General features: G+C 43.8%; 2 long non-coding RNA genes across 2 annotated transcripts in view; one reads left to right on the top strand and one right to left on the bottom strand.

Moving 5' to 3' along the window:
- The window catches only part of LINC02698 (long intergenic non-protein coding RNA 2698), a 242,222-nt gene that overhangs the window by 107,077 nt on the left and 107,536 nt on the right, over positions 1-27,609 (top strand). The gene's annotated exons all lie outside the window — the stretch shown is intronic.
- On the bottom strand, positions 543-26,825 carry LOC107987165 (uncharacterized). The gene is made up of 3 exons (XR_001748395.2): positions 26,513-26,825; positions 22,669-22,915; positions 543-699 (listed from the first exon to the last, which is right to left on the bottom strand). It is a non-coding gene; the product is annotated as an uncharacterized LOC107987165 (long non-coding RNA).

The raw sequence follows: 27,609 nt of genomic DNA on the forward strand, positions 1-27,609 counted from the left end.
AAGTGCTTCTGACACCCTTAATGCAGATTTCCAGGACCATCTTATTGGTGAAGGAGGAAAGCTCAGGAGGCTGGTCCAGCCTAGAAAAGGAAGGGGCAGATCTGACATCTGCTGCTGGGGCATCATTTTTTCATTACCTTTATGCCCAGAGTAGGCATAAAGAGTCCCAGATGCAGGGGATACCTCTGTTTCTCTTCCTCTTGCACCACTAGCCCATCAGCCTCCCCATCAGGCAAATGTGAAGCTCAGAAGCCACAGAATAGGCCACACATACTCCTGGCGTTCCTCTGTAACCCCACCCTCCATCTGCTGACTCAGGGGGTCCTCAGAGGACTATGCTGGCTTCCCAGTTCTCTCTTTGGACAAATTCCCTACTCCTTTTGTAAGATTTAACCTGATTTATTTTTTCTCTTTAGAGCATTTACCTTCTCGTATATAAATATTGGGCAGTGGGATTCGAGTTTGCATTACATGCATAGAAGTAGTGACAGCCACGGCAGTAGGTTTATTTTTAAATAAAAATTGGAAAGTTACGAGGCTCCTGAGGTTTTCTGCATTTTTATTTTTCATTCAAAAGAGAAAAAAGGGAACAAAGAAAAGAAGGATAGGGGAAAATACAGCCTGTGTTTCTGCTTCCATTTTTCAGAGTTCCTTGTCTTCATCTCCCTTCCTGCTTCCCTTCTCTGGCATTTGGCATCTCTGTAAAGAAAGGAAAGGAGTGATTACTTCTAAGAAGGGAGTGGGGGAACTGTTCAAGGCAAGCATTAGGCATGCCGCCCCTGAGCAAGTCGCATGCATGGTAAAATATTACCTTAATAACATACTCACGGAGAGCTATGTGTAAATGGTAACAGCTGCTTTTGTGATGACCGTGTTATAAATGATTGCAGCCCTGATCATTAATAATGCATTTGAACAATAACAACTTGATTCGAAGGAAGAACTACAGCCTTTCATTTTTTTCCTGGCTCGCAAATTCACTCTTGCTGTTGTGCGAAGTGACTGGGCCCTAAGATTGAAGGCCCACACTGGGCCTTCAGAAATGGGGAGCATTTCAGCTCAAGCTGGTCCCCAGCCAGGCAAAACAGGGATTCTGGGGCGGGCCCACCTCAGTGCTTTTCCTACACCCACAGCATTGACCTTTCAGTTAGCATGCCCTCTCTAAGCCTCTCCACCTCCCCTGGGACCCATAGCATCAGAAACCTGCCACTCTGCTGATCGTTGAAGGGTGGACTCCCAGGAGACATCAGGATCCTAGAAATTTCCCAGCAGTCGGTGTTGACTACTGCAAGAGCTATTTTTCTTTAATGTGTCTGAAATTATTGTTCTGCTTAAAACACAAAGTTCAAACTCTTCAGGGTGACATATTAGGGACCCTCACAGTCTAGCCCCAAATATTTGGCCACATCTCTTGCTGCTCCCATTCCACACTCTATTCTAATCACCCCAAACTTATTAGGGTTCCAAAAACATACCCTGCTATTTAAGACCATTGTACTTTTGGATATTCTCTTCTCTATTCTGTCTGCAGAACTCCTATTCGTCCTTCAAGATCCTGGTCAAATATGCCCCCTTTCTCCACCTCCCCAGGGCAGAGTTAATTGTTCTATCCTCTGTGATCCCACCTATACTGTAGCACTTTGCACATGCCTTGACTATAGCATTACTCATACCACACACAGTCATGCTTGATTTACATATTGATTTTCTCCATGGGCTTTGAGCTTATTAAGGGCAAGAAGTATGTGTTGCGCTTATTAAGGGCAAAAAGTTTGTGTTAGTATCCTTCATATTTCTGATCCCTAGCCCGGTGCTCAGTAGTCATTAAATATTCAATAAGTGTGGAATGAATAAATAAACAACCACCCAATAAACATCTTTCTATTTTCTATGTGTGATGATATTTTGGGCCCCTGGATCCTAAGCTGGCATCAGGGACTGTTCTAAAGGCTAACTCCTGCCCACTTGAAACATTGTGCTCTTGGGCTGTGTCAGCCCAAAGGTGTTCAGCATTTACTAATGTGAAGAGGAAGGTAGCCCCTTAGCCTAGCCATTTACCATGCTACTTAGATGATAGCCTGTCACTGCCTGCTCCCTGAAGTCAAGGGTTTATTCTAAAAGTGTTTTGCCCCCTGTATCTCCATCTCTTCTATAGTACTTGAATTTCCCATAATGTATTACTACACTGGGAAAGGTCTTGATGTACCAAAGACATGCACTTTAGGTAAGTTACCAATATGAGGACACATATTATTTGATTCATTTTAGCATGACATCCTATATAGGGCAAACTTCTGTTGTTTCTAGTTTCTACTCCTCTCTTCATCTACTATTTTTTATATTTGTTTGTTTTTGTTTAAATTTTTTATTTCAATGGCTTTAGGGGTACAAGTTGTTTTTGGTTACAGGATGAATTGTGTACTGGTGAGGTCTAGAATTTTAGTGCACCTGTCACCTGAGTAGTATACATTTACCCAATAGGTAGTTTTTCCTCCCTCACTCTCTTACCATCCTCCCCGTTCTGAGTCTCTAATGTCCATTATGTCACTCTTTATGCCTTTGCATACCCATAGCTTAGCTCTCAGTTATAAATGAGAACATGTGGCCTTTGGTTTTTGATTCCTAAGTTACTTCATTTAGAATAATGGCCTCCAGTTCTACAAAAGTTGCTACAAAAGACATTATTTATTCATTTTTATGGCTGAGTAGTATTCCATGGTATATTATATACCACCTTTCTTTATCCACTCATCAGTTGATAGACACTTAGGTTGAATCTTTGCACTGATCAATTGTGCTGTCGTAAATGTGTGTGAAGGTATATCTCTTTGATATAGTGACTTCTTTTCCTCTGCGTAGATACCCAGGAGTGGAATTGCTGGATCAAATGGTAGATCTACCTTTAGTTCTTTAAGAAATCTCCATACTGTTTTCCATAAAGGTTGTACTAACTTACATTCCCACTAGCAGTGTATAAATGATCCATTTTCACAGCATCCATGCCAACATCTGTAGTTTTTGATTTTTTAATAATGGGTTAAGGTGGTATCTCATTGTGGTTTTAATTTGCATTTCTCTGATGATAGTGATGTTGAGCATTTTTTCATATGTTTGTTGGCCATTTGTATATCTTCTTTTGAGAAATGTCTATTCATGTCCTTTTTTCACTTTATTTATTTTTTTTTTACTGAGATTATTTGCTTTTTCTTCCTGATTTGTTTGAGTTTCTTGTAGATTCTAGATATTAGTCCTTTGTCAGATGTGTCTCTTCTCATTGACTCTTGCTTTCAACTTCCAATTCTGGACCAGAGTTTTTTCTTGAGGTTCCTTGACCATTGGGAAGGTAAGATTCTTCCTCCCTAGGCCCTAAATTCATTCCCCCACACAGCCATCTAAACCCAAGTGGGATCCCTCTGCACCGAGGCCTTGGAACTGCAGTTAGACCCTACCTTGTCTGGGCATAAAAACTCCAAGGTTAGTTCCCTGAAACCAGCCCTGTTTTAACTACTTCTTCCTGCTCTAAAAGCTTTTTCTTGCTTTCTGCCTCTTATGATCACACTCTAAAACCACTCTCGTCTCTTCCTGTTCTAAAACTCCATCATCCTTTCCGAATACATGTTTTCTCTACAAGTCCTAATTTTTTTACAACTCTGACCTCGGAGCACCACTTACTCCATCTGTTCTTTCTGGCCCAGGTTTCCCTCAGAATTGCTGATCTGAAGATTCATTTTCCACATTAATTTCTCTCTTCAGAGTAAAAAAAAAAATCAGAAAACATTTGCACACCCACAGGTTCATGAATTTATTTTATTTACTTATAAATGGCCTTCTTTCAGAAGACCTTCTGTGAAGATGCAAACAATATGGCAAGAGAAAATAAACTAAAAATAAGTTTAAAAACAAAAAACAGGCAAATGGAAAGCAAGGCTAGGAGGAGGCAGTGGAGTCACGGGTGAGGTTAGAATGCTCTGTGGACGTCATGGAGTCCTAGTTACCTGCTGGTGGTGGCCATGGAGTTTATTATAGGCAGTCCCGTGGTCAACACAAGAGAGAAATGAGATCATTTACAAAATTCAGTATCCAGGAGACAAAAATGAATCTAAATTGCTTATAAAAACTGCAACTGTTTATGGTACCAAGACTAGAGAAAAATTTCTACTCTGAGTCTTGGGCTAGGTTCTCATGTTATAATAAGTTCTTACAGCATTCTCAGTCCAAACCTCATGAATGTTTTCTGTACACACATCCTTCTAATCTGTAAAGTTTAGCAAGTTTTAACGTAGTGGTGATGTTGAAAGGATATTCAAGTTTGAACTCAGTGATCTTGGGACTTCCTTTCAACCTGAGTGTCTAAGTGTATTGATGTTTATGAAGCCATGTAAGATGTGGTTCCTGCCCTCAGGGAATTTACACTCTCATAAGATAGCTAGCTGCTCTCAGGTCTGAGTACACAAGAGAATCACCGAGGTTACAGGCTGGAAGTGTAGATTCCTTGTGCAGAGCCTGATAACCTGCATTTTAAACAAACACTTTCATGATTCTGATGCAGATGTTTCAGGTAAGAAATCTCATGATGGGAATCCTGGCATGGGTCATCGATCCACAGTGCAAGGTATCACATGCTAGATATCGCACAAATGTTAAAAGCAAAGGATGGCAGGAGTCTAAAGTGATAGGAATCACTTCTAGCTGGCATGCTAAGAGAAGAAGATGGTGGTCATGTTTGAGCTGAGCTCTGAGACATGAGTAAGAGCAGACACAGAATAAGCTGGGAACACTTTCATGCAGAGGAAACAGACTAGGCAAAAAGGTGTAAAAGTGCAGTGCTTGTTCAAGGGAAAGCAAATAGATCAGGTTGTCTGGAGTAAAAAGTCTGTATAGAGGCAATAGTAGGAGATCAGGCCAGACAGGTAGGTTGGGGACAAATTATGGAGGGCTTTGAATACTAGACTGATGAGTGTGAGCTTTACCCAGTAGGCAGTGAGGAATCATTGAAGACTTTAGAGACCCAGAATGATGTGATCAAGGTAGCACTTGAGAAAGATTACCTTGGTGTTGTGTACAGAATGGATTCGAGAGTAGGAAGACTGTATAGGGATTGATACCTAAAAGCCACCTTATACATGTTTGTTGAATAAAATGTTTGAAAAGAGCAAAGAAGAGGCTGTTGCTGAAATCTAGGTACAAGGTGATAAAGGCCTTAAGGAAATAAGAATTAAAAATAAAGAACAAGGGAAGAATCCTAGTGACACCAATAAAGAAGAAATTACAGACCACGATAACCTGCTGTGCAGGATGAAGGAAAGAAAAGAGTCATTGTTTGCTCTGAAATTTGGAGCCTGAGCTAGCAGGGGAGTTGTGGGTCCACGCCTGTACCAAGAAGATCAGAGGAGGCCCTGGATGTGGTGAAAGCTGATGAGTCTTTAAATTAGGAATGTGCATTGGAGCTCACAAGAGGCACTTGGGCTCACAATTCTAGTCTGGGAAGAGGGGGCTTCTGTAAAACTTCAGGCTAGAAGGTGTTGTGGCATACCTGGCACATGGCCTCAAGCAGTGCCCACACTTCCGTGTTGGGAGAATAAACAGGAGCCATCTGAGGAGACACAAGAATGGTCACAGCAGTATGGGGACTCATTTAGGATAGTGTCTGCCATTCAAAGAAGTGGAGCTTTGAACGAAGGAAGGCTGTGGGATAAGGGCTGTGGGCTGCAGACAGGTGGGAGCTGAGAGAGCACTGTGGGATTCAGTGCTTACGTCCTCACTGCTGACCTTGGTGACAGTAGGTAAAATGAGCAATAGGGATGTTGTTTCATTTCCATTTATCGGGTCCCCAATTAGACCTGGAGCCCTCAATCCATAGGCATATTTTTGGAATTTTTTTTTGGCCCCAACTCCACTGGTTCCTTCTATTGCTGGCTCCTAGCTAGACCTACCTGCTCCCTTGTCTTGTTCCATTTGTCAAGAAAAGACCTTTAATGCCCATTTAAAAAGCTTGTTATGGCCGGGTGCAGTGGCTCACACCTGTAATTCCAGCACTTTGGGAAGCCGAGGCAGGTGGATTGCTTGAGGCCAGGAGTTTGAAACCAGCCTGGCCAACATGGCGAAACCCTGTTTCTACTAAAAATACAGAAATTAGGCCAGGTGCAGTGGCTCACGCCTGTAATCCTAATACTTTGGGAGGCCAAGACGGGCGAATCACAAGGTCAGGAGTTCAAGACCAGCCTGGCTAACATAGTGAAACCCTGCCTCTACTAAAAATACAAAAAATTAGCTGGGCATAGTGGCGGGCACCTGTAATCCCAGCTACTCAGGAGGCTGAGGCAGGAGAATCGCTTGAACCCGGGAGGTGGAGGTTGCAGTAAGCCAAGATCGCACCACTGTACTCCAGCCCAGGTGACATAGTGAGACTCCATCTCAAAAACAAAAACAAAAACAAAACAGAAATTAGCCAGGTGTGTTGGCACACTGGCACACACCTGTAATCCCAGCTACTTGGGTGGCTGACGCACGAAAATCACTTGAACCCGGAAGACGGAGGTTATAGTGAGCCGAGATAGCACCACGCACTCCAGCCTGGGTGACAGAGCGAGATTCCATCTCAAGAAAACAAAAACAAAAACTTGTTCTGTGTCTGAGAGTAGTGAGAGTAGGCTCTATGGCTATCCCATTATATTTATCAAGACTCTTGGGTTGCAAGTAACAGGAATGCAATTTAAATTATCTTTTTTTTGAAGAGGATTTACTATCTAGCACATGTAACTGAGAATTTACCAACACATGTAATTGAGTAGTAGCTTAATTCAGCTACTACTGGATTACAGGATTCACATGATGCCATTAGGATATTTTCTCCCTATGTGCACACTCTGTATGTCTCTGCTTGGCTTCATTGTTTCTTCCGAAGAGAGGCCTTCTCCAAGTGTCAGGGAAGGTTTACATCTATAGCCCCATCTACCACACTCAGACTGAAAAAAAATCCCAGGGAAGGACTCTGATTGGGCAGACATGGTCCCATGCCCACGCTTGGGTGAATCGCTGTAGCCAAGTGGATGAGGAGCAATATTGGCTAGACCTGGACTGCTGCTACTAGGGGTGACTGGCATCTCATTAGAATCACGTGACTGACATGGCAGAGCAGTAGTTCCCCCAAGGAAGGAGGCATGGGTGCAGGTGACGGTGCTGGGGGTCAGTTCAAAGCCATAGATGTCCAATTATACTACATCTGCTTGGCAAACAGCTTCTCTGTCACCCTATGACTGTAGCGTAGCTAGAGGGTGACATAGCTCTCACTTGTATTCCCTTCACTGCCCCAAATTAGTGGGCTGAGAGCTGAAGTGGAAGCTGAATGCCAAGGCTTCCCCCTCCTTCTCTCTGAGTTCACTTTGTGACAGCCATCATCTACCCATGCAGGTGTCTCCTGATTTCCAGAGGCCTCAGGCTGGGGTGGCAGGGGAGGCTTAGATCAGGGCAGTGATGAGTTGGCTGAGGTGTGTGGGAGTCGAGGAAGAGCCAGCCCAGGCTGCTGAGCCAGGCAAGATGAAGGTGCACTGAGGCAGGAGCCTGAGGGCAGATTGCCCACTTGCTGCCTGAATCTGGCAGGAGGACCTGGTGCTTTCGGAGGGCCTGCGTTGACTTGCTCTGTGACCTTAGGCTAGACATTTAATTGCTCAGGGCTGCTTCCCCTCACTCTCCTATCTGGCAAACAGAAATAATGACATGACTGAACTGGCAGAAACTGTACCTTTCGAGGCGGGGTGTTGATTTGAAACTTGGTGCGGGGGAAAATGGCTCTCGGTCCACGCTGTACTCCTTGAAGCTCCTGGGCCTGGGCCCCAACCCTCTTGGCAGAAAGCAGGTCTCTGAAGATCTTGGACTTAAGATTTTCTGATTTCAGCTTCCTGAACCATATTGCTCTTGCCACTGAGCCAGGAAATGAATGACCCCTTTCACACTAATTGTTGAGAGTGGGTATGTAGTTTCCAAGGTGCTCACAAACATTTGCTTTCAGAACTGGGGTTTCTAGTGCCACAGAGGCCCTACATGAGGTACAGGAGTTTTGGGGTTGGTGAGTTTTTAATAACCCCTGTTCCTCCAAGCCCCCTCCTCTCCAGCTTCAGTACTAGGAACAATCATATGATGCTTTGGGAGAGTATTTATATGACACAGAACAATCAGATTACACATCAGAGAGATAGGTAAAATAGGTGGGAATACAGTCAAGCCAGGTGGAAGATTTACTTGCAAATTAAGACATGCTGTCAGTCTTTACACTATGCCCTATCAAGCCCTACAGCCATGGTTCTCAAACTTCATTGTGTTTACCAATCACCAAGAACGGTAGAAACAAATGCGTATTCCAGGACACCACCTCTAGAGAATAGACATCCGTAGGTCTGGTGAGGGATTCCATGAGCCTGCATTTTCAACCAGCACCTCACGTGACTCTGTGTGAGGTAAGGGGTAAGACTCAGGGCCCTTCACCTATGTTTAATCAGAACAGCTTAACCTTTATCTGCTTTGTACACTGAGGTTCTAGGCAAGAGGACATTAGAATAGGCTCATGGTCTAAAAGTAACTCGAAAGTGCTGAACGAAAGCAATGAAGTCACCTTGGTAAATTTAGAGTCTGGGCTTCTTAGCTTTGCATTCAAGGCTTTCCATGATCCGATTCCTTTCAATGTCATTTTAACCACAGGCAACTCAGTATCTCTGGAACATACTTTCTGCATCCTCATCTCTGTTCATGCAGTTACTCCCGTGGGGAATACAATTCTTCTCTCTTTCTGCCCTTCCAAACTTCCCTATCCTTCAACACCCTGATGGGGTCTTCCTTTTGCATGAAGCCTTCCAGGACTATACCAGAAATTGAGGGCCCCTGAGCACCCTGGAAGGAGGGCTGAGGAGGAAGCACAGAGCCAGGGGAGGTGGCGAGGGTGCACTCCCTGAGCACATTCCTCCATGTTACCTTTTCATGAAATGGGAAAATGAATCATCTTGACAGGATAGAGGTTCTGAATATGATCAAACACATCAGAGGCAATAGGGAAAGCAAGGAGGCCGGGCATGGTGGCTCACGCCTGTAATCCCAGTGCTTTAGGAGGCCAAGGTGGGTGAATTGCTTTGAGCTCAAGAGTTCAAGACCAGCCTGGGCACCATGGTGAAACCCTCTCTCTACAAAAAATACAAAAATTAGCCAGGCATTGGTGGCTCACGCCTATAGTTCCAGCTCCTTGGGAGGCTGAGGCTGGAGAATCACTTGAGCCCAGAAAGCAGAGGTTGCAGTGAGCCAAGATCGAAGGTTGCAGTCAAGCCGAGATCACACCACTGCACTCCAGCCTGGGCAACAGAGTGAGACCCTGTCTAAAAAAAAAAAAAAAAAAAAAAAAAAAAAGAATAGTGAAAGCAAGGTACAGGAAGTTGAGAAATCAAATGGAGGTAGGAAACCTTCTTCCTACCCCACAACCTGCCCCAGGGCTCCATCTCTGTGTCTTAGGTCCTCATGATGACTCTGGGCTGTGAGAGCCAAATGCTGGCCCAGCTGCAGCATACGAGAGGGCGGAGCAGATGGAGCCCCACTGTGCTTTCACCCCACCCCACTCCTCCCTGCCGCAGGCCTCACACTCTGGCTTGGTCAGCAGGATGAACATATGCTGCACTGGGCACTGGGGAGTGTGGATGGAGGTGCCCTTCCAGCCCAATGCCTGGGAAAATTCCACACACTTTCTGCTTCGTTGGGGGAGGAGAAGAGCAAGGAGCACAGAGCTGTCATCCCTAGAGCTGTCAGCTCACCAGAATGGGCATTCATTTTCAGAATAAATAATCAACTCAAAAAATGTACCAAATTCGTTTTCAAATTGGCTTGTCAGACACACATTTGCCCAGGACAAGTCGGTTGAATAAAATGTATCTTGGGGAGCAAGGTGAGCCGGCCTGCTCATTCCCTTAGGGGCATCTTGTAAATAAGGGCCATTCTTGAGGCCGGAAGCAGAGAATTCCCCAGCACAGATTGAATTCTGGCTTTGTCTTAATGAACGTCAATATTTATTACCAAAGGCGTTGTGCTTCTCGGAGTGATAGAGCATTTCACCATTTCAGCTCTCGCCTGTTGCCTTCCCAGGTACCAAATGCTATGTAATTGCTGCTCATAAAGGCAGCAGACAATATTGCCAAGGAAACTCACTCCCGGCTGTAAGTCTTCATAATCAGAACCAGCAGAGCTTTGCTTTCAGTTTGGACAGAGGGCCCCAGAGGCAGGGCCCACCCAGACCTTCTGGTTCTCCTGCATTGGTGGGAGACTCCCAGATACCCTCTGTCCAGGCAGGGGCTCTTTCTGGGATCAGGGATAGGGTATCAGCCAGCAAGGATTGGGAAGGCTGAGAAGTGACAGAAGTCACAGCCCCAACCCAACCCAGGACTGAGAGAGAGCCAGTCACTGATCACTCATCATACATTTAGAAGGGGCCTCTTGAGGTTGTCCCATCCAGCCCTCTCACTGCAAATGAGGAAGACAAGGCTCAGAGAAGGAGGGTTTTGTCAAAGTCATGCAGCTCCCAAGCCAGTGGCCTTCGCGTCTGGCCGTGCTGTCTTCTAGGGACTGAACAGTGAGCTCAGAAGGAGTCCCAGTGAGCTGGCTGCTGGCCGCAAGAGTCAGCGGCTCCAGGTTGGAGATTTTCCTTGACTTCTGGTGGGTCTGGAGCCCTGCTGCCAACAGGCCTGGCTTCCTGGGGCCTTGTCCAGATAGGTTGCTTTTTCCTGCTGATGTAAGCCTACTGCCTGCCCTGGGCTTTCCTGGCGAAATCTCTGGAAACCAACTCTGAACTCTGCCCCCAGCCAAAACATTCATAGGAGCAGCAATCCCAGCTGGAGAATTTATACAAGAAAACAGAGATTAGCTCCAGCTTTTCCTTGGGATGAGTAATCCATTTGTTTCTAGGAGGACTTTAGCTCTGGGGTACAACTGTCTAGGAGGGGCTTTGGTAGGGTAAAGGAAAGCCTGAAATGCCTGAACACAGGTCGGCAGGCTGGGACCAAGTTCGGCTTCTGGTTCTACTTCCTTTTCTCCTGCCAACTTGCTAAGGACAGAGATGGCCCCGGTGCAGAGACACAAAATGGGTTTTAGAGAGTGATGTCATGTGGTTCTCAGACACCAGAACGCTCTGCAGAAACTGCCTTGCTGTTGTTATGGGAGTTCTGTTGGAGAGAATTATAACTTTTGACAATGGACATCTCATCTTGCGCAGATGCGTCCTTTATAGAATCTGACAGCAAGATTACAGCGGCATCACAGTGTAATGGGGAGAGGAGTCAATAATTCTGGGGTTATTGATTGTAACCAGACCCATTCTTCTTTTTTAATTTATATTTTATCCGCTGTTTTAGACCTATTTTTTTTAAACCCATCCTGACAAAAGCACCTGCTGGATCAAATGCGGTTGATTACATTTTTTAAAATGAGAGGAGTAATTTGCTGTCCTTAGGAGAGTCTGGGACAAGGAAGTATGTGGCTGGTGGTGGTGGTGGGGGGGGGAATGTATGCAGAGAGCAGAACAGGGGGAGAGAGGTAGACAGGAGGGAGGAGGAAGGCATGACTCAAGGGAGGACATGAAGCAAAGCCGGGGGAGCTGGTGAGGACCCCTCCACACAGCCTAACCCTGATTTAAGCCCCACTCTCCCTAGGGCCAAAGTCTGATGAAGACTTCTTCAGAGAGTCAGATTTCCCATTGCTTTGTAGCCCCACTGGGTATCGGTACATCCCTGAGGACATATTCTTATCCTTCAGATCCCACTTCTTCCAGGAGATATTTCCTGATAAGGCAAGTGGAGATTCCGGCTGGGTTATGACGGGTGGAATGTGCACACGTACATACATATATATAGACTCAAATGTGTGCCCACATGGTATATCTTCATTACAGAATGTTTATACTTAGGACACAGCAGGTAACTTGATGTGTTATTAATTGTGGGATTAGATTCCATGGGATGAGCTAGTAACTTGTAAGCTCTTTAAAAAATTGATCATGTTTTGATGCCCCCAATATCCCCTTTATCTTTAATTCGCTGTGTAGTGTGGCATCATGAAAACAGTGGGCATTTGCTCAATAACTCTTGGAGAGTTAAATGATTATCTGAGCATATCTCTCCTTATGGAGAAGTGACCAGAGATGTCTCTAGTCATCAAAACAGGTGCACTGTAAGGATCTGATTCAATGACTACACTTCTATTCATTTCTATTCCAGTCGATGAGAACCCCTGGACTCTGTTTTAGATCACAGAATGCCCAAGTTCAGAGGAAACAAAGATTGCCTAGCCCAAACCTTTCATTTTCCAGAAGAGGAAACTGAGTCCCAGCAAGATCAAAAATGACTTGTGAAGGTCAACAATTGGTTTGGGTTAAAACTAGGAGCACTTCAGTGCTCTTTCCCCATGCAAAATATTTTCCTTCCTCTTGCTTCATTTTCTCCCATGGACAACAGCAGGACCTAATCACCTATGTCTCCCATAGATACTATCAGCCCTCTCCTAACACTTGCCAAGCTGAATTACAGAAAGTTCTTCCTCTTTGCTCCTATTTAATTCTAGCTGGATCTGAAAGCTGCAGGGGCTTGAAGAAAGCACAAGAGACAGAAATGGAGCTAGAATTAGTTTCCTTGTCACCCATTGACTCATTTTATGTAGGCCTAGACCACAATCTTCTAGGCCAGGACTGGTGCTGACATTCTGTGGGGTGAGGTTTTGAGGTCAGGTGAAAAGAGAAAGAAGGATCTTTATGTCATTGTGCTTTTCTGGCTGGGCAAAAATACTTCAAATGAATTCTGGATTGTATTTCCACATCTAGGATGTGGGGGAGATTTGGGAATGGTTAAAAGAGAGAGAGGGGAGCTTTTTCTCATGCATAGGCTTGAGGGAACATGAGACCAAGGAGACCCACAAAGATGACTGTGATCCACTGGCTGACCTTGACTTTGACCTCTTATATGCTTCCTTCATCTCCCCTACTGCCAGCCACTTGGGCCATCAGCCAGAAACTCACACTGTCTTCTTTATCTTCCCTGAGATGATAACATTTGCTTTGATGAAAGACACGAGCCTTTGAGTCATAAGCCTTGAATTAGAAACTAAGCTCTTGGGCTTGGTAGCTATGTGTCCTTCGGCAAGTCTCTTAATTTCTTGAAGTATCAGTTATTTTATTTGTAAAACAGATGTAATGATACTTTTACCTACCACACCACATCCCTCTGAGGCTCACCACTGATGGTTTGAATAATAACATAACATATATCGGAATGTGCCACATTCATGAAAGAGACTTCTTTTAAAAGCAAAATCAAACTATTTTATTATTTTATTATTATTATTTTTTGAGACAGGGTCTTACTCTATCACCCAGGCTGGAGTGCAGTGGTACAATCGTGGCTCACTGCAGCCTTGAACTCCTGGGCTCAAGTGATCCTCCCATCTCTTGCCTCCTGAGTAGCTGGGACTACAGGTGCACACAGCCATGCCTGGCTAATTTTTGTAGAGACAGGGTCTTGCTGTGTTGCCCAGGCTGGTGTCAAACTCCTGTGCTCAAATGATCCTGCCCACCTCAGCCTCCCAAAGCACTAGGATTACAGGCATGAGCCACTGTGCCTGGCAAATTTTTATTATTATTATTATTATTATTATTATTATTATTATTATTATTTGTGTCCAGAGATGGAGTCCCCTATGTTGCCCAGGCTGGAAAATTATTTTAGATTTACAGAAAGACTGTGAAGATAGTTCAGAGTTCTCATGTGTCTAGTGCCTATTTACTTCTATTAGTAATATCTTACATGAACATGGCACATTTGCTACAATTAATAGGCCAATATTCAGAAATTACTATTATGGCTGTAGTTTATTTAGATTTCCTTAGTTTTTCCTAATGTACCTCTTCTATTCCAAACCCCACCCACATTGCATGGGGAGGTGACATCCCCTGAGGCCTCTCTTGGCTGTGACTGTTTCTCACACCTTCCCTGTGTTTGATGACTTTTTCAGTTCGAGGGTTACTGGTCAGGCATCTTGTAGAATGACCCTCAAAGGTAGTATTTTTGTCTGTATTTCTCATGATTAGATGGGATTATGGGTTTTGGGAGGAAGACTCCCTAAGTAAAATGCAAGCTTTGTGACATGATATTCAGGGTACATCATTTAAGAGATTTTATTATATGTATTGATGTGATTTTAGAGTTGTCCTTTGTCGTTAAAAAAGAGTTGTGACTCCCGTTTTAGGAACCCCCCGTTTCTGGCTCACCAGGCCCTGGAGTTAACAGTCCTGGTGGGGTTTTCTCTGAAATACAAGTGGCAAGAGGCGCTTTTCTTTCTGGTCACCTGGGCCTGACACTAATGAGATGTTAATAACACAACCATTATCTATGCAAATGAAGGGAACTGGGCTGGGGAGGGAGGCGCCTGCAGTGACAGCAGGCTCCCTGAGAGTGCTAAGTAATAAATCATGTTGCTGTGGTTATTAACCATCTTAACTGAGGTGCCCCAGGAACTGACCCCCGCGTGCCCCTGGTTTTCTGGCTTATTTACATCACCAGCTTGTTTCTTGGGAGGTCCTAGAGATGTGAAGAGTTAATTCACCTCTGCTGTATATTAAGGGGGCAGTGTAGTCAGGGGCCACAGAGGAGAGTCTAACTCTCCCTTTGGCTTCTGACTCCTGTGTGTTCTCGAGCTGGTCCCTCACCCACTCTGTGCCTCAGATTCTCTTCTGGTTAGAAATAATGGCTCTTGTGAAGTAGCCCCTCCCCTGGTCATGTCCCTACCAAAAGGACTCACAACCAATGAGATGTAGAGCCAGTTAGCCTTTGGTCTCCATCTGGTCATGTGCACTCTCATTCTCTCTCATCGTTTGTCACTCTTTCTCATCTGCCTGCACTCAGACCACAAATACTCTTATCTCCTCCTCCTAGTAAATTCACCAGGGCAGCTCAGCAGTCATTTAATTTCTCTGTCTATGCCTAAGTAGGGAATTTCAGTTCAGGAGAGAAGGAAAGAAAACGTACGTTGGCCCCAGTTCCAAACCTTGTTTTTCTATACAGGTTTACCACTCACAAAACTGGTACTTTGATCTCTATCTGATTCCTCTATTTTCTAATTTCTTCAGACCTCAGGGGAGAGAGTTGTGATGACTTAGAGCCTCAAACATGTGTTTGGAGGGCAGGTGCCAAAGGAGTGAGAAGAATTCTTATCTGGGCAGCCACCCTAAGGTGTTTCCTCCATGCTTAACAATTGGGTGTAGAACAGAACTGAAAAATGTTTGGTAGTTGCAGGCTGCTAGGGCCTGACACAAATAGGTTAGTATAAGGGAGGGAAAAAGTACATAGCACGTCACTTACCTTGGGAGCTGGAAGAGGCCGTCTTGCCTTCACCTTGATTTTGGAAAGGGTAGAGCTTCTATGGCAAACATCTAGAGTAAGCATTGATGTAAGAGGGCCTTTTTGCATACTGTGTGCAACTGGAAACTCCCCAAAATCTTCTTACAAAGGGGGAAGGCTGGGATATGTGTGGCCATGGACATGCTCTGCCACATGCCAGCCTACCTGCTTTTTCACATGTGGGTCTTTGTCATTATTCTGACTCCCTCAAGCCTTTTCTGGGGACACAAATATCAGTTCAACACCTTGTCCCATGAGGGATAAGTGGGGAGAGTCAGAGTGGTTCCCACTCCTGGATTCACACCCTATATAAGTGTGAGCAGGCCTGTGACTTGCTTCTTGTCAACAGAATAAGAAAAAGATTTTGCAGACCTAATTAAGGTTAAAAATCAGTTGGTTTAGAGTTAATCAAAAGGGAGATTATACTTGATGGGCCTGCCTTCATCAAGTAAAATCTCTTAGAAGAGGGATTGGGTCATCCACTGAGAGGAAGATTCCCCTCACTGGCTTGAAAGCCACCATGTTGAGGAAGCCCACGTGGCAAGGAATTGGAGCAGCCTCTATGAAATGTGGGCCACCTTTAGGTGACACCATTGAAAAGTCAGGGTCCTCAGGGTATAGCCACAGGAAAATAAACTTTACCAGAAACTGAAATAAGCTTGGAAATTGATTCTTCCTCAGTTGAGCCTCCAGATAAGAACACAGCCCAGACAACACCTTGACTACAGCCTTGTAAGACCCAGAGCAGAGGATTCAGTTAAGATGTATCTGGACTCCTGACCACAGAAACTTGCAAGATAACAGAGGCATGTGGTTTTAGGTAGCTAAGTTTCTGATAATTTGTTATGCAATGATAGAAAACTAATACTGTCCTCCTGGAGACAGGTGAGAAGGGGCAGGAGTAAATGGAGTAAAAACGCAGGTAATGTTTCTGTGAAGGAAGCAGTTCTTACATTATAACCTGTGCAATGTAGAAAGGGAGAAAATCTTCTCCCTCCCATTACCCACAGGGGTAGATCTCTATAGTTCTTGCCCTAATGATCACTCAAGCCATTTCAATTATTTGCTTTTTGGATTTTTATTTTGCAAAGGAGAGAAACAGAGTTGATTGGAAATTAGAAACTAGCCATAGAAGTGCCTGCACCTCATACAGAGGTTCCGTCAATTCCTTTGGCTTTTCCTTCCTGGGTTTTGATTTTCCTATTCTTACTTCTGTTCTGTGAGATGTCCAATGATCCTTCTAATAAAACCTTCATCCCTACTTTTTAAAGAAGAGTGTAATATGCTAGCCAGAGTTGATTGCTCTTGCTTACAGCCAAAGTAAACTTAATGCCCGGTATATTTTCCCATTAGCCTAATTGCCCCTCAAATTAGTAACCAATTGAATTGCCCATCCCCACTCTTTCTTTTCTGAAATAAGAACTTCAGGCTCTTCTCTGGTCTCTTTGATCCTCTTAATTTTGCTGCACTATTACTGTTCCTATTTCTGATAATGCCACAGCTATCATTGCCTGTCTGGGTCTAACTTTTTGGCTGGAAGCTGTCATTGATAACCCTAATGTTGTCTTCAGGGAGAGGTACAGCCATTCTTCTCTTGGCTTCTCCTTTTTAAACATGGGGTTTAGTGTTTTCTAATTCCTTTCAGCTCAAATGAGGTCAAACTATGACTTTGAATAAACTTTCACCAAACCCTTGACTATGAGAGAAGTTCATTATTTGTAGGATTGACTATCCTTAGAATCTATGGGCATGAACCAACCCCAGAGTCTTTTACTGGGCTGGACCACTGCCTACCTGCTGATTTGCTTCTATGTAGCAGGTGTCATGTCTACCCCAACTCTCCTGATTCCAGATCAACTGATTCTGATTCTCTAAATGGTAAGGTAGGCATTATTTGTTGTACTTCATTTTTTTTTGTCCCAAGATTAACCTTGCCCTAGAATGACTAAAGGTGAGAATATCTATTTTTATTACATTCAGGGAAAATCTCAACTCACCCTCAATGTTATGTCTGTCTGCATAACCTCAAATATCAATACAATGGTTTCACAAGGCATTAAACAAATTCTGTCTTATAAAGCATGAGATAATGTCCTATGCTGACATGAACAGTCTAGTCTAGGTTGTACTATGCCAGATCTAGTCCAGTTCTACTCTTTGCTTCAAAGTAAAGGTCCACATGTCTCTTCCTGCAGTCTCCATACCTGATTTTGGGGGAGCGAATTATTGGCTAATACAAGAACCATACGGATATGTCTCAGAAATACACAGTAATTTTCAGTCATATCTCTCCTGAAATTTAGATTTATGAGAAGAAATATTTTCCAACAAAATATGTAGGGAAATAGGATGAATTGCTCTAAGTGTGTAATACTAAACAGGACACTTGAAGGTTCAATTGGAAACATCAGTATTTGGGTTACTCATAGCTCCCAGGTAGATCTTCCTCAAGAATCTTGGTATGCCATTGCCTTAAGTTTGCATTGGTAAAATGTTTTTTACAGTGATTTTTTTTTCCTAATAAAAGAGTAGTTTCCCCAAAAAGTTAAATTCCAGACTACCTACAGTACGAGGCTTGTTATTTGGTAGAATGAGGAGAATCTTCTATTGAATGTTAAAAGAATGAATTCCAGTTCTGTCTCTAGCACAAAGTAGTCATATTAGCTTGAACAGTCACTTAACCTTTCTAGAAACTTTGTTTTGTCTGAAAAAAGCAGGTGGGACTAGATGTGTTAGATAGTATCTTCTATCCCTTAACTTCTATGCTAGCCTAGGAGTTAGTAGACAGGATGTGACTCGGATAGTGACACCAGGCAAGAAAACCTAGCTGCTTTATTCCAAGCTGTAATGTAGTAGGAATCAAATGCCTCTGGTGCTGGTTGTTCTGCTGATATCTGTGGGTGATAGATATGAATGGGGACTGACATGAACAACTCATTATAATGCTTGTGAAGAATGGGACCTGCCCTCATGGGCAGAGGTGCTGCCCTTTCTCCTGTTCAGTTCAGTGCCTCCAGATCATCACTATTCAGGCAGGGCTTGTCTGATTCGCAGAAAAAGAGTGTTATGGAAGGCTTGGCATTTTTGTGCTAACATTGACCCCCAGATAAGCATCCTCCACCCTGTTCCAGCCCAGTCCAACCAACTCTGCATTTGGATTGTTTCTTTGCCAAATGTTCTGTTATATCTGGGTTCTCTCTGCTCTTAGAATTCTCTGGTCTTCCTGTCTCCTTCCTGTCCCCGAGTCCTGGTAGCTGGGCTGTGTCCTCTTTCTCCTTTCTTTACTTTCCAGAACTCTCTGAACATCTTTTCCTGGCTCACAGAACCATTCCCAGCTGATCCAACCCTTCTACCTGCAGGCCATGGTATCCTAGCTAGTACTTCCTGCTCTCTATCCCACACATTGTTCCCCAGGCAGCAACTCCCAACCTGGGAGCAGGGCCAACTGTGTCAGGGCCAGGAAGTGGGGGCTCCAGATGAGCCGCTGTCCCTTTGAGCCTGCTTCCCAGGGAAGGAGAGCATTAAACCCAGCCCTCCTGCAAGAGCAGGGCCCCTGGTGTCATGGGCCAAGTTGGCACAGGCTGGCTTGAAGCAGCCCACACTCTCTACCTGCCTACCCAGCTGTATTTGTGTGTACACATGATGTGGTGCCAGGCAAGCAAGTTAGCAGCCACTTTGAGGGATGATCAGATCCCTCGGTGTGTTTGTCTTAGAGTCTGTAAGAGACATTGAAATCAAATATGTATCAAATATATATATGTGTGTATATATACACACATATATGTATGTATATACACATATATGTATACATATATACATACATATATACGTACATATATATATACACATATATATGTATGTGTATATATAGTGTGTGTGTGTTTGTCCCCAACCATATGCCTTGGCATCTATCCAAGTCATTAACAGAAAACAAGTAGTAACTGAAAGAAATAAGATTTAAGGGACCTGCTTAATATTTCCTCTTATTCTTTAACTGCGAGACTTCCATAAGGAAGGTAGAACTTGAATACCCATTATGTATTGGGTTCTTTACTGCACTGTTCCTTACCTAACATTCCCTCTCTTAGTTCATGGAAACTTCATTCACTCATGTTATTCCCAGAAATCTCAGCTTCATCTCAAATACCTTTCCTTTCCTCATCCTTCCAATAGTTGAATATTTTCCAGATCTGATTTATTGTTTTATTCTGTTCTTGTAGGGGTGTAGTAATAATTTTTATTTAATAGATAAGAAATAAAGCTCAAAGACACAGAACTCTTGCTGAGGTCACAGAACTAGTAGGTAGGAGAGCAATGTTTTAACCTAAAAGTTTGTCTTTCTCCATGGTCCATGGCAATTCATTAACTCAATAAACATTCAGACTGCCCTTGCCCCTAGGATGATGAGTTGCTAGAGAATAGCCTTGGTATTTGCTCAAGGATCCTGTAATTTAGTGAGGGGGGAATATATTTTCAAAAATCAGAATGCAGTGGAGGAATTGCATGGTTCCCTGAAAGCCCAGGGTAGAGACTGGCTAATTGCTACAGGGGAGTCAGGAGGAACTCCATGGAAGAGGCGATGTTTGATCTGAGTCTTGACGAATAGGTAGAAGTTGGCCAGCAGGACTAGAAGGGAAAGGAAATTCTGGTAGCAGAACAAACAGAAAAAAAAAAGCCATAGAAATAAGAAAGAGCATGTGAGAGACAAGTAGGCTCCTCTGTGCGTGATGGTGAAGGTGTGTTGGGGACACTGTGGGAAGTCGTGCAGCAGGTGTATCAGGGCAGGGGGTCTTAGCTTCATCTCTGAGCAAGAGGGAGGTGCTGCAGTCTGAGCAGGGAAGAGATGCAATCACTTACAGGCCCTACGGCTTAAGAAGCAAAATGAGCTTGGAAAGGTGCATGGAGACGTGCACGAGAGTGTGAGAGTATGTGAGTATATGTGTAAGTGTATGTGTGTATCTGTGTGAATGGGAGCAAGTGTGTATGTGTGAGTGAGTGTGAGTGGGTGAGTGTGTGAGTATGCAAGTGTATGTATGAGTGTATGTGGGTGAGTGTGTATGGTTGAGGGTGAATCAGTATGATTGAGTGTGAATGTGTGTATAAGTGTGTGAATGTGCATGGGTGACTGCGTATGTGTGTGTGGACACTAAACCTATGGAAACCAGTTAAGAGGCTTTTTCAATTGATTAGAGAAGTAGTGGTACATGCCTGGACTGAGGCACAGCAGATGGGGGTGGTGAGGAGGTGGCAGAGGTGACAAATAATTGCATTAGGCAATAGAGCAGACTCAGAGACAAATTAATGGGTGGAGGAGGCAAGGAAAGAGGAGGTGTTTGGGACAACAACGATGCAGTTTCTAGTTAAATAGCTTGGGTGAATGATGGTGCCATTAACTCAGATAAGGCATGTGAGAGAATAATGAGGTCAGTCTTGGACAGTTTGGTGGAGACCAGCATGGTGCTGAGGACTGACACTGCTGTTCTTGGAGCAAAATGGGGGAGGGGGCTGATGTCGTAGGGGCAGTGGTCAGAAGAGAAAGGGGGTATCCCAGGACATGGTCAGGACCCATGCTAATATTCCTGGCCAGTGCATTCAGGTTTGGGTTGGAGAAGCCCCAGCTCCATCTGCAAAGCTGGTCTGTGTTCCCAGTTCTCTTGTCATGTTGACGCCCCTCTCTGCTTGTCATGACTCAGGCGCTGACAGCCTCAATGGTGCTGGCAATCCATCAGTGAGTGGAAAAAGATAATTGACCATCATCTCACCTCACCTCGCCTTGCCTCAACTGATAGAGAGAAATTTAACTGCTTCATTCCACTATAATTTCATATAATTCTCCATCTTTTTCTTCCTCGTTTTTACTTGGAAGTTTACAAAAGTGATTGATGATTTGCTATCAAATATAAAAAAAGAAGCTAAAATATCATTGGACAGTTTAACAGCCTTTAAAATATAATGGTCTCTCTGGCTGGACATCCACAGTAGCTGTAGAAGCCCAGAAGGTCAATCTTTAATGAACTGGTGAGAATTAGAAAAGGAAAGTGAGAGTGATCAATGCTCAGAGCCAGTTCCACAGCCTGCTGACCTTGGGGGAAGAAGGGACATCCGTAAATGATTATGGAGCCCTTCTGAAATGTGCACGGGGCTGTCAGAAGCCAATGGGGAGGCTGGAGGACTGGCCTGTGCTGGGGAGCCAGGGGTTCTGGGTCACACCAAGCAGAGGAGGCTCCTTGCCCTTAGCTCAGTCCTCGTTCGTACCCTCATGATAACCCAGACTGGCTTTAGGTTCTTGCCTCCTTGCTAGGACTCCCTCCAATCTTGTGCCTCAGGGCACAAGGTTGACCTTTGACCCTGTCCGGAGAACCCAAATGCTCCCCTTGCCAACATTTTTGGTCTCTGAGACCCTCTGACTTACTTGCTCACATCCCTTTCCTTCATTGTTGAAAGTGAACCACTGAACTTATCAGGGTTCCATGGCAGGAGGAGGAGGGGAGGGCAGTTATCTTCTATTAACCATCTCCTGTGTGCCACATACTCTTCCAGGCACTCGCCTTCACACTGTCTTATTTGGTTCCTTCTCTACCCTTTGAGGTAGTTGTTATAATGCTCACTATAGTTGAAGAACATGAGGTTCAGCAGTCATGGTAGGCAAGCAGCTGGAACATGGCTCCCAATGATCCAGCCTTGTGACTTTCATGTCTTTGGGTAATCCCCTCTCCTGGAGTGTGGCCAAGACCTAGTGACTTACTACTAATAAACAGAATACAACAAGAGTGGTGGGATGGCACTTCTGAGATTAGGTTATAAAAAGACTGTAACTTCCATCTTGTTCTCTAGTTAGCTTCTTCTGCTGAAAGCTTGCCGCCATGGTGTGAGCTGCCTGATGGAAAGGCCTGTATGGCAAGGAACTGAGGGGGACTGAATCCCACCCAGTAACCATATGAGTGAGCTCAGTCAAGTCTTGAGATGAGACTGCAGCCCCAGCTCACTTCTGGATTGTGAGCAGAGCACCCAGCTAAGCTGCATCTAGATTCCTGACCCACAGAAACTGTAAGGTAATACATGCATATTGTTTTAAGCCACTAAGTTTTGGAGTACTTTGTTATTCAACAATAGATGAATAATTCAGAATGGTTAAATAATTTTTGCAAAACAGACAGTTAATAAATGGTGGAATCCAGACTCAAAATCAGGACTGCTTGATTTCAAAGCATCACAATCTTTTCATTATACTATATTAATTTTAAAAAATGACTTGTACCTGTAGCTCCAGGAGATGTATGCCTGTTGGGTGGTGGGATCCTGAGGTGTGCAGACAGGCAGGGTCACATCGCCAAACTGTGTGTTCTATCCTTGCCCCACTGCTGGGCCTTCCGGGTGTGGCATGTAGAGGCCCAGTGATCACCCTTCCCTCAAAAACTCTTTCCTCTTAGATGGATTGCATTTAGGAACATCTGCCCAGAAGGACTGCAGTTGATTTAAGCATCTTTGCTTTTAATTTTTGGTACCTTTTAGAGGGAAAGAGAAAAATAAGATTAGTTTCCTAAAGTGTAATTGTTTCAGGCAGTTATTTATTAATGAAAAGAAACGACATGTCAACAAAGCTCGGGTTTTGCTGTAGAACTAATGTTAGCCAAGGAATAGGTTATAAGGAAGGTAAGCCTGCTGTCAGTCTGCATTTGTCCATCGCCATGATCATCTATTAATTACCTGTGCTCTGGACCCAGGCTGGGAGACAGTCTTTGACCCCTCTCCACTGAGGGTTGCTGAGCACCAAGGGGCAGGAGAAGCATCATCTCTGACATGGTTCTCCTAAAGGAGCTTTATGGGCTTCTGAGCTTTCTCTGAGATTATGAAGGCTCATTCTCTGCCTGGACCCCAGGATGGGGAAGGGACAGGGGTGCTTTGTTGAAGATGAAGGGTATAGAATGCTGACCTGACTTGTCATTGAGTTGTGTGAGTGTCTTGTATTTGGAGTCAGTAAAGTGATTGGAACTTGCTTTGAGTTTCCTCAGGTATGAAACAGGGGAAATTATAATACATACCTCACAGGGTTGATAGAAGGATCAAATGTGATAATGTACATGGAAACATGTATAATAGAAAGCACTTTACAAATTGTGTGTGTGTGTGTGTGTGTGTGTGTGTGTGTTCCTGTGAGTTTGGTCAAGTTGGGGTTAGACTCATGGAGTGGATCCAAGAGAATAAAACAAATGATCTGATGAACCCACTTGACTAGAAATTGGAAAGGGCATTTCAGAGGTACTTTCAGAGGCAATTAACATAATTCCTGCCTAATAGTAGTTTAAACCCATGAAGGCATTAATGATTCCTTAAGTGTGATGGCCCCATGGCTCTATGCTGTCACAGAGGAGTCAGGCACGCCACCATCCTTGGTGGGTTGAGTTGTTTTGGTCCTCGTGTTCACCATCTCATTATCATTAGATGCCTAACAGGTCCTCATTCAAGTTGGGTTCTGTCCATTTTATCTTGGAAAGCAGTTTTTTTGTTTTGTTTGTTTTGTTTCCTTTTTTGCCCCAGAAGCCCCTGAGCTGAATTACTCCTCTGTCCAGAATTGGTCACACAGGGTGCAAATTCTGAACTAGTCATATTGTATGGAGACCTGAGAAAGCAAATTAAAAAAATATATTGATATGTATTCATTCATCATCATAAGTTGGGAGAAGGCAAGAGAGAAGGGAGTTAGGAATGACTGTTAGAGTGGAAGGGACCCAGGATCTGATTTAATCCCATAAGAAGAGACATGAGGCTCAGAAGGGTTAATAGCTTGTCCAAAGTCACAAATTAAGTGGATAGTACCTACTGTACTTAGAATGGGGCATATATAGATTATTTTCATGTTTTACGTGGATTGTGAGACGATTGAGGAAAATTATCTTACATATAGAATGCCTGGAAACCTAAGCATGACCTTCAAAACATATCTTTAGTGTCTTTCTAAATAGTTACATGGTTCCTTAGAATATAGAGGTAAACTGAGTTACAGAGATAAAAGGGGAAATGGAGAGCATTGGGCTCTTAGGGTTGTCTATTTTGTGGCCAGAATGGTTGAGGTGAGCAAGCTTATTGGAGCCCAGCAAACCACGTACGTCTTCACTATGCAGTCATGAAACATCAGCATAATGCGAGGGAACTGGGAGGAGTTTATGGGGGAGTTAATTCAGACTCCACTGCAAATATTCAGTGAGTGTCCAGACTGCCCAGTACCAAGTTAGGTCCTATGTAGATACAAAGTAAGTGCAATTCAAGTCAATTCAAATTGATCCAACAAACATGCATTGAGTGTGCTTGTTCCTGGCATGATAAATATATGAAGATAAATACATGATGCTTTCCTTCCAGATGCTCACAAATAGAATGGACAACAACACGGGTGACTCACTAAAATGCTATAAAATCCCTGCTGTAATATGGACAGGAACAAAAGGCAATAGAAGCTCAATGGACCCAACCAGAGGGACACTTTTTAATGACCATTCCAGAGCCCAACATAACCAGAGAAGAGATTTATATCATGAGGCTGTCAAACTTTCTCAGATAAAGAGAGTGATAGACTGAATAATCCAGGGTGGTAAGTGTGGGAAGTTCAGATAACACTAAGGAAGTTAAGAGGAGAAAAAGTCAACAAGGACTGGGCCTACTCAAAGAAGACTTTTTGGGGTCATGGACCTTGAACTGGGACTTGCTTGGAAGATGGTATTTGGAAGAAGAATACAAAAAGGAATAAAGGGTTGAGGAGATTAAGCCAAGATAAGGAAGTAGGAACATGCACAATATATTTGGAAACCTGGCCTTCTACACAGAGGGCCTGTGGCCAACTTCTTTTCTACTTCTCTTCAGGTTCCCAGTCACTGAATTCCAAAGGTTTTTGTTATATGGTCCAGACTCAAGGCATTCCTCTTGGCCTTTGGGCAAAGGAGCCCACCCTTTGTGTTTATCCCTAAGAAAAAGAGAGAGTAGTCAGAACCCCTGCAGAGAGGTTTGACTCCCGGAAGCAACTGGTGTCCCACTTTAACCCTGGTTTCAAGTCTGGAAAAAACAGAAAACACTTATTCTTACCTCTCTCCCCACCCCCAGAAGGATAGATTAAAAAAACAGAAGGTTAAGGATTTTGCCAAATATGGAAAAATGCTTTTGGCATTCAATGTGGCAATCAATCTCTAAAGAATTATTCAACATTTGATGTTCATATCCTCCTCAGTGTTATCTCTAGATTTCTCCTTTCAGGAAATCTCAAGAATTAAAAGCCCACAAGAAGTTCCAGATAAAGATGCAAGATGCTGAAGAATCAATAACATTTATTGAGTGCTTACCAAATGCCAGGTACTATTCTAAATGCTTTGCTTTACATGCATAACTCACAAGGGGAAAGCCCTATGGCACTGACTGTTGTGCTCCCACGGACTGCAGAATGGAGATAGTGGACTGGCAAAATGCAAGAAGCTATGTGTGCAAACACAGCTTTTGATAATGTTGGGAAGAGACACGACCATTGGATCCATTTTTATGACTTTATCCATTCTGCCTAACCTCCCTTCCCTGCCCTGCAACAATTTTGGCATTCTTCCACATGCCAGCCAAAGCTTTTCTGTCCCCACTAAATCCATGTAGGCTGCGGCTTGATACACCATCACTCACACCCATTTCCTGGAAAGCTCCTCTTTGGGCAAGTGGCACTGCTCATTGAGTTTCTGAGCAGAGCTGTTATTGGGGTCACAGTATGGCCCAGGGAAGAAACTCAATGACAAGTACAGAGTGGGAGCTCTCTAGAGCAATGTCTGATCGTCATGATGGCATGTTGGAAAATTGATAACTTTACTCTGCCTAAGGAGAAACCTCCGCATGTCACCACTAATCATGCAAACTAGACTCTTAAAATGAAATTACGCTGAAACACAACCAATCAAAGTTGGAGTCTCAATTGCTCTATGACTTCATTTAAAGTTCCAGTGCCAGCAGGAAGAAAAAAGAAATCAATACTACATTTTCTTCATCATCAATTTTGCTTTTTTGCTAAATGAAAATGCTTATATTCCTTCTCTTGTTCCCTCCACCATCGAAGATGTTATTTCTCCCCACCTTACCTTATCCATCCTGTGGTCACAGTTGAACTCACACAAAGAGGTTTTGTAGAACAGAGTTGTGCGTACGGCTTCTTTGTAGGTGGAGAGTCGATAGTCTGCTTACTCCAGACAGCTCTCAAGGCCCTAAGTGCAAATCCCAGTGTAATGCCCTGTGCCAGACTGTTGTACCAGGCCTTGTTGAAGGGAATGTGATAAGGGTGGCAGGCCTGTCATGAACTCATTCATGGGCTTTGGTTACAAAAGTAGCAAAGAGACCTCATTATAAAATGTTCTCACTTGTTCAGTTGCAGAACTAAAAGGGTTTTGCTGAACGATAGAGAAAACTCACCGCCAAAGCCATCCCTCAGTAGTGACCTTTAAGAGCTCTCAGTGAGTTCCTGTTTCTGTTGGCTCCAAGATGGTCCCAATTCAGGACTTAACTCACTTGGCAATATTTGGAAAGACAGAAAGAAAGAAAGAAAAATTTGCCACAGAGGAAGAAAAAAAAATAGTTCCGCGGGCTGGAAACTCATTTCCTGAGGAGCAGGAGCACATCGCCTTGCTCTCTGGGACTCACCAAGCTCCAGGAAGCTCGACCAGTCACTTAATAAGTCATTGAGGACATGTGGTTTAATTAACTCGCCCAAAATTCCTTCTTTCCCTTTCTCACTTTTGCTATTAATATTTTTCGATATCTGATAATGCAGTGTAGTTAATTCTTTCTGGCTTTATAATGAACACTGCCATAATGAAAAAGGTTAGCAGGGCTTCAGGCAGCTTTTAATTAGCCAGCTGAGCAGGTAAAAGCACTTTATTCTTCTCTTTTTTTCCCCTTACTTAGCAATTAATGGAGAAGCTCAGTGGCACTTACCGTACCTTTTTTGTTTTCTAATGGATGATGCTGCACAGAGCAGGAAGGCCTTACTGTACCCCCCTGTTACTACCAAGTGAGAACATTGGAGGCTGCATCACTGCATTTCTGGCCTCTGGTTTGTGGGTAAAAGCGTTTCTGCTGCTGGCTGAAGGTTTACCTCATTAAAAAGCTAAGTTACCTAGAGTTGTTACCAGTTCCCTGTCTTGCACTTTTCGGTCTTTGCATCTGCATCCAGAGGCCCCCC

The sequence above is a fragment of the Homo sapiens genome, chromosome 11, assembly GCF_000001405.40.
Source record: "Homo sapiens chromosome 11, GRCh38.p14 Primary Assembly".
Taxonomy (NCBI): domain Eukaryota; kingdom Metazoa; phylum Chordata; class Mammalia; order Primates; family Hominidae; genus Homo; species Homo sapiens.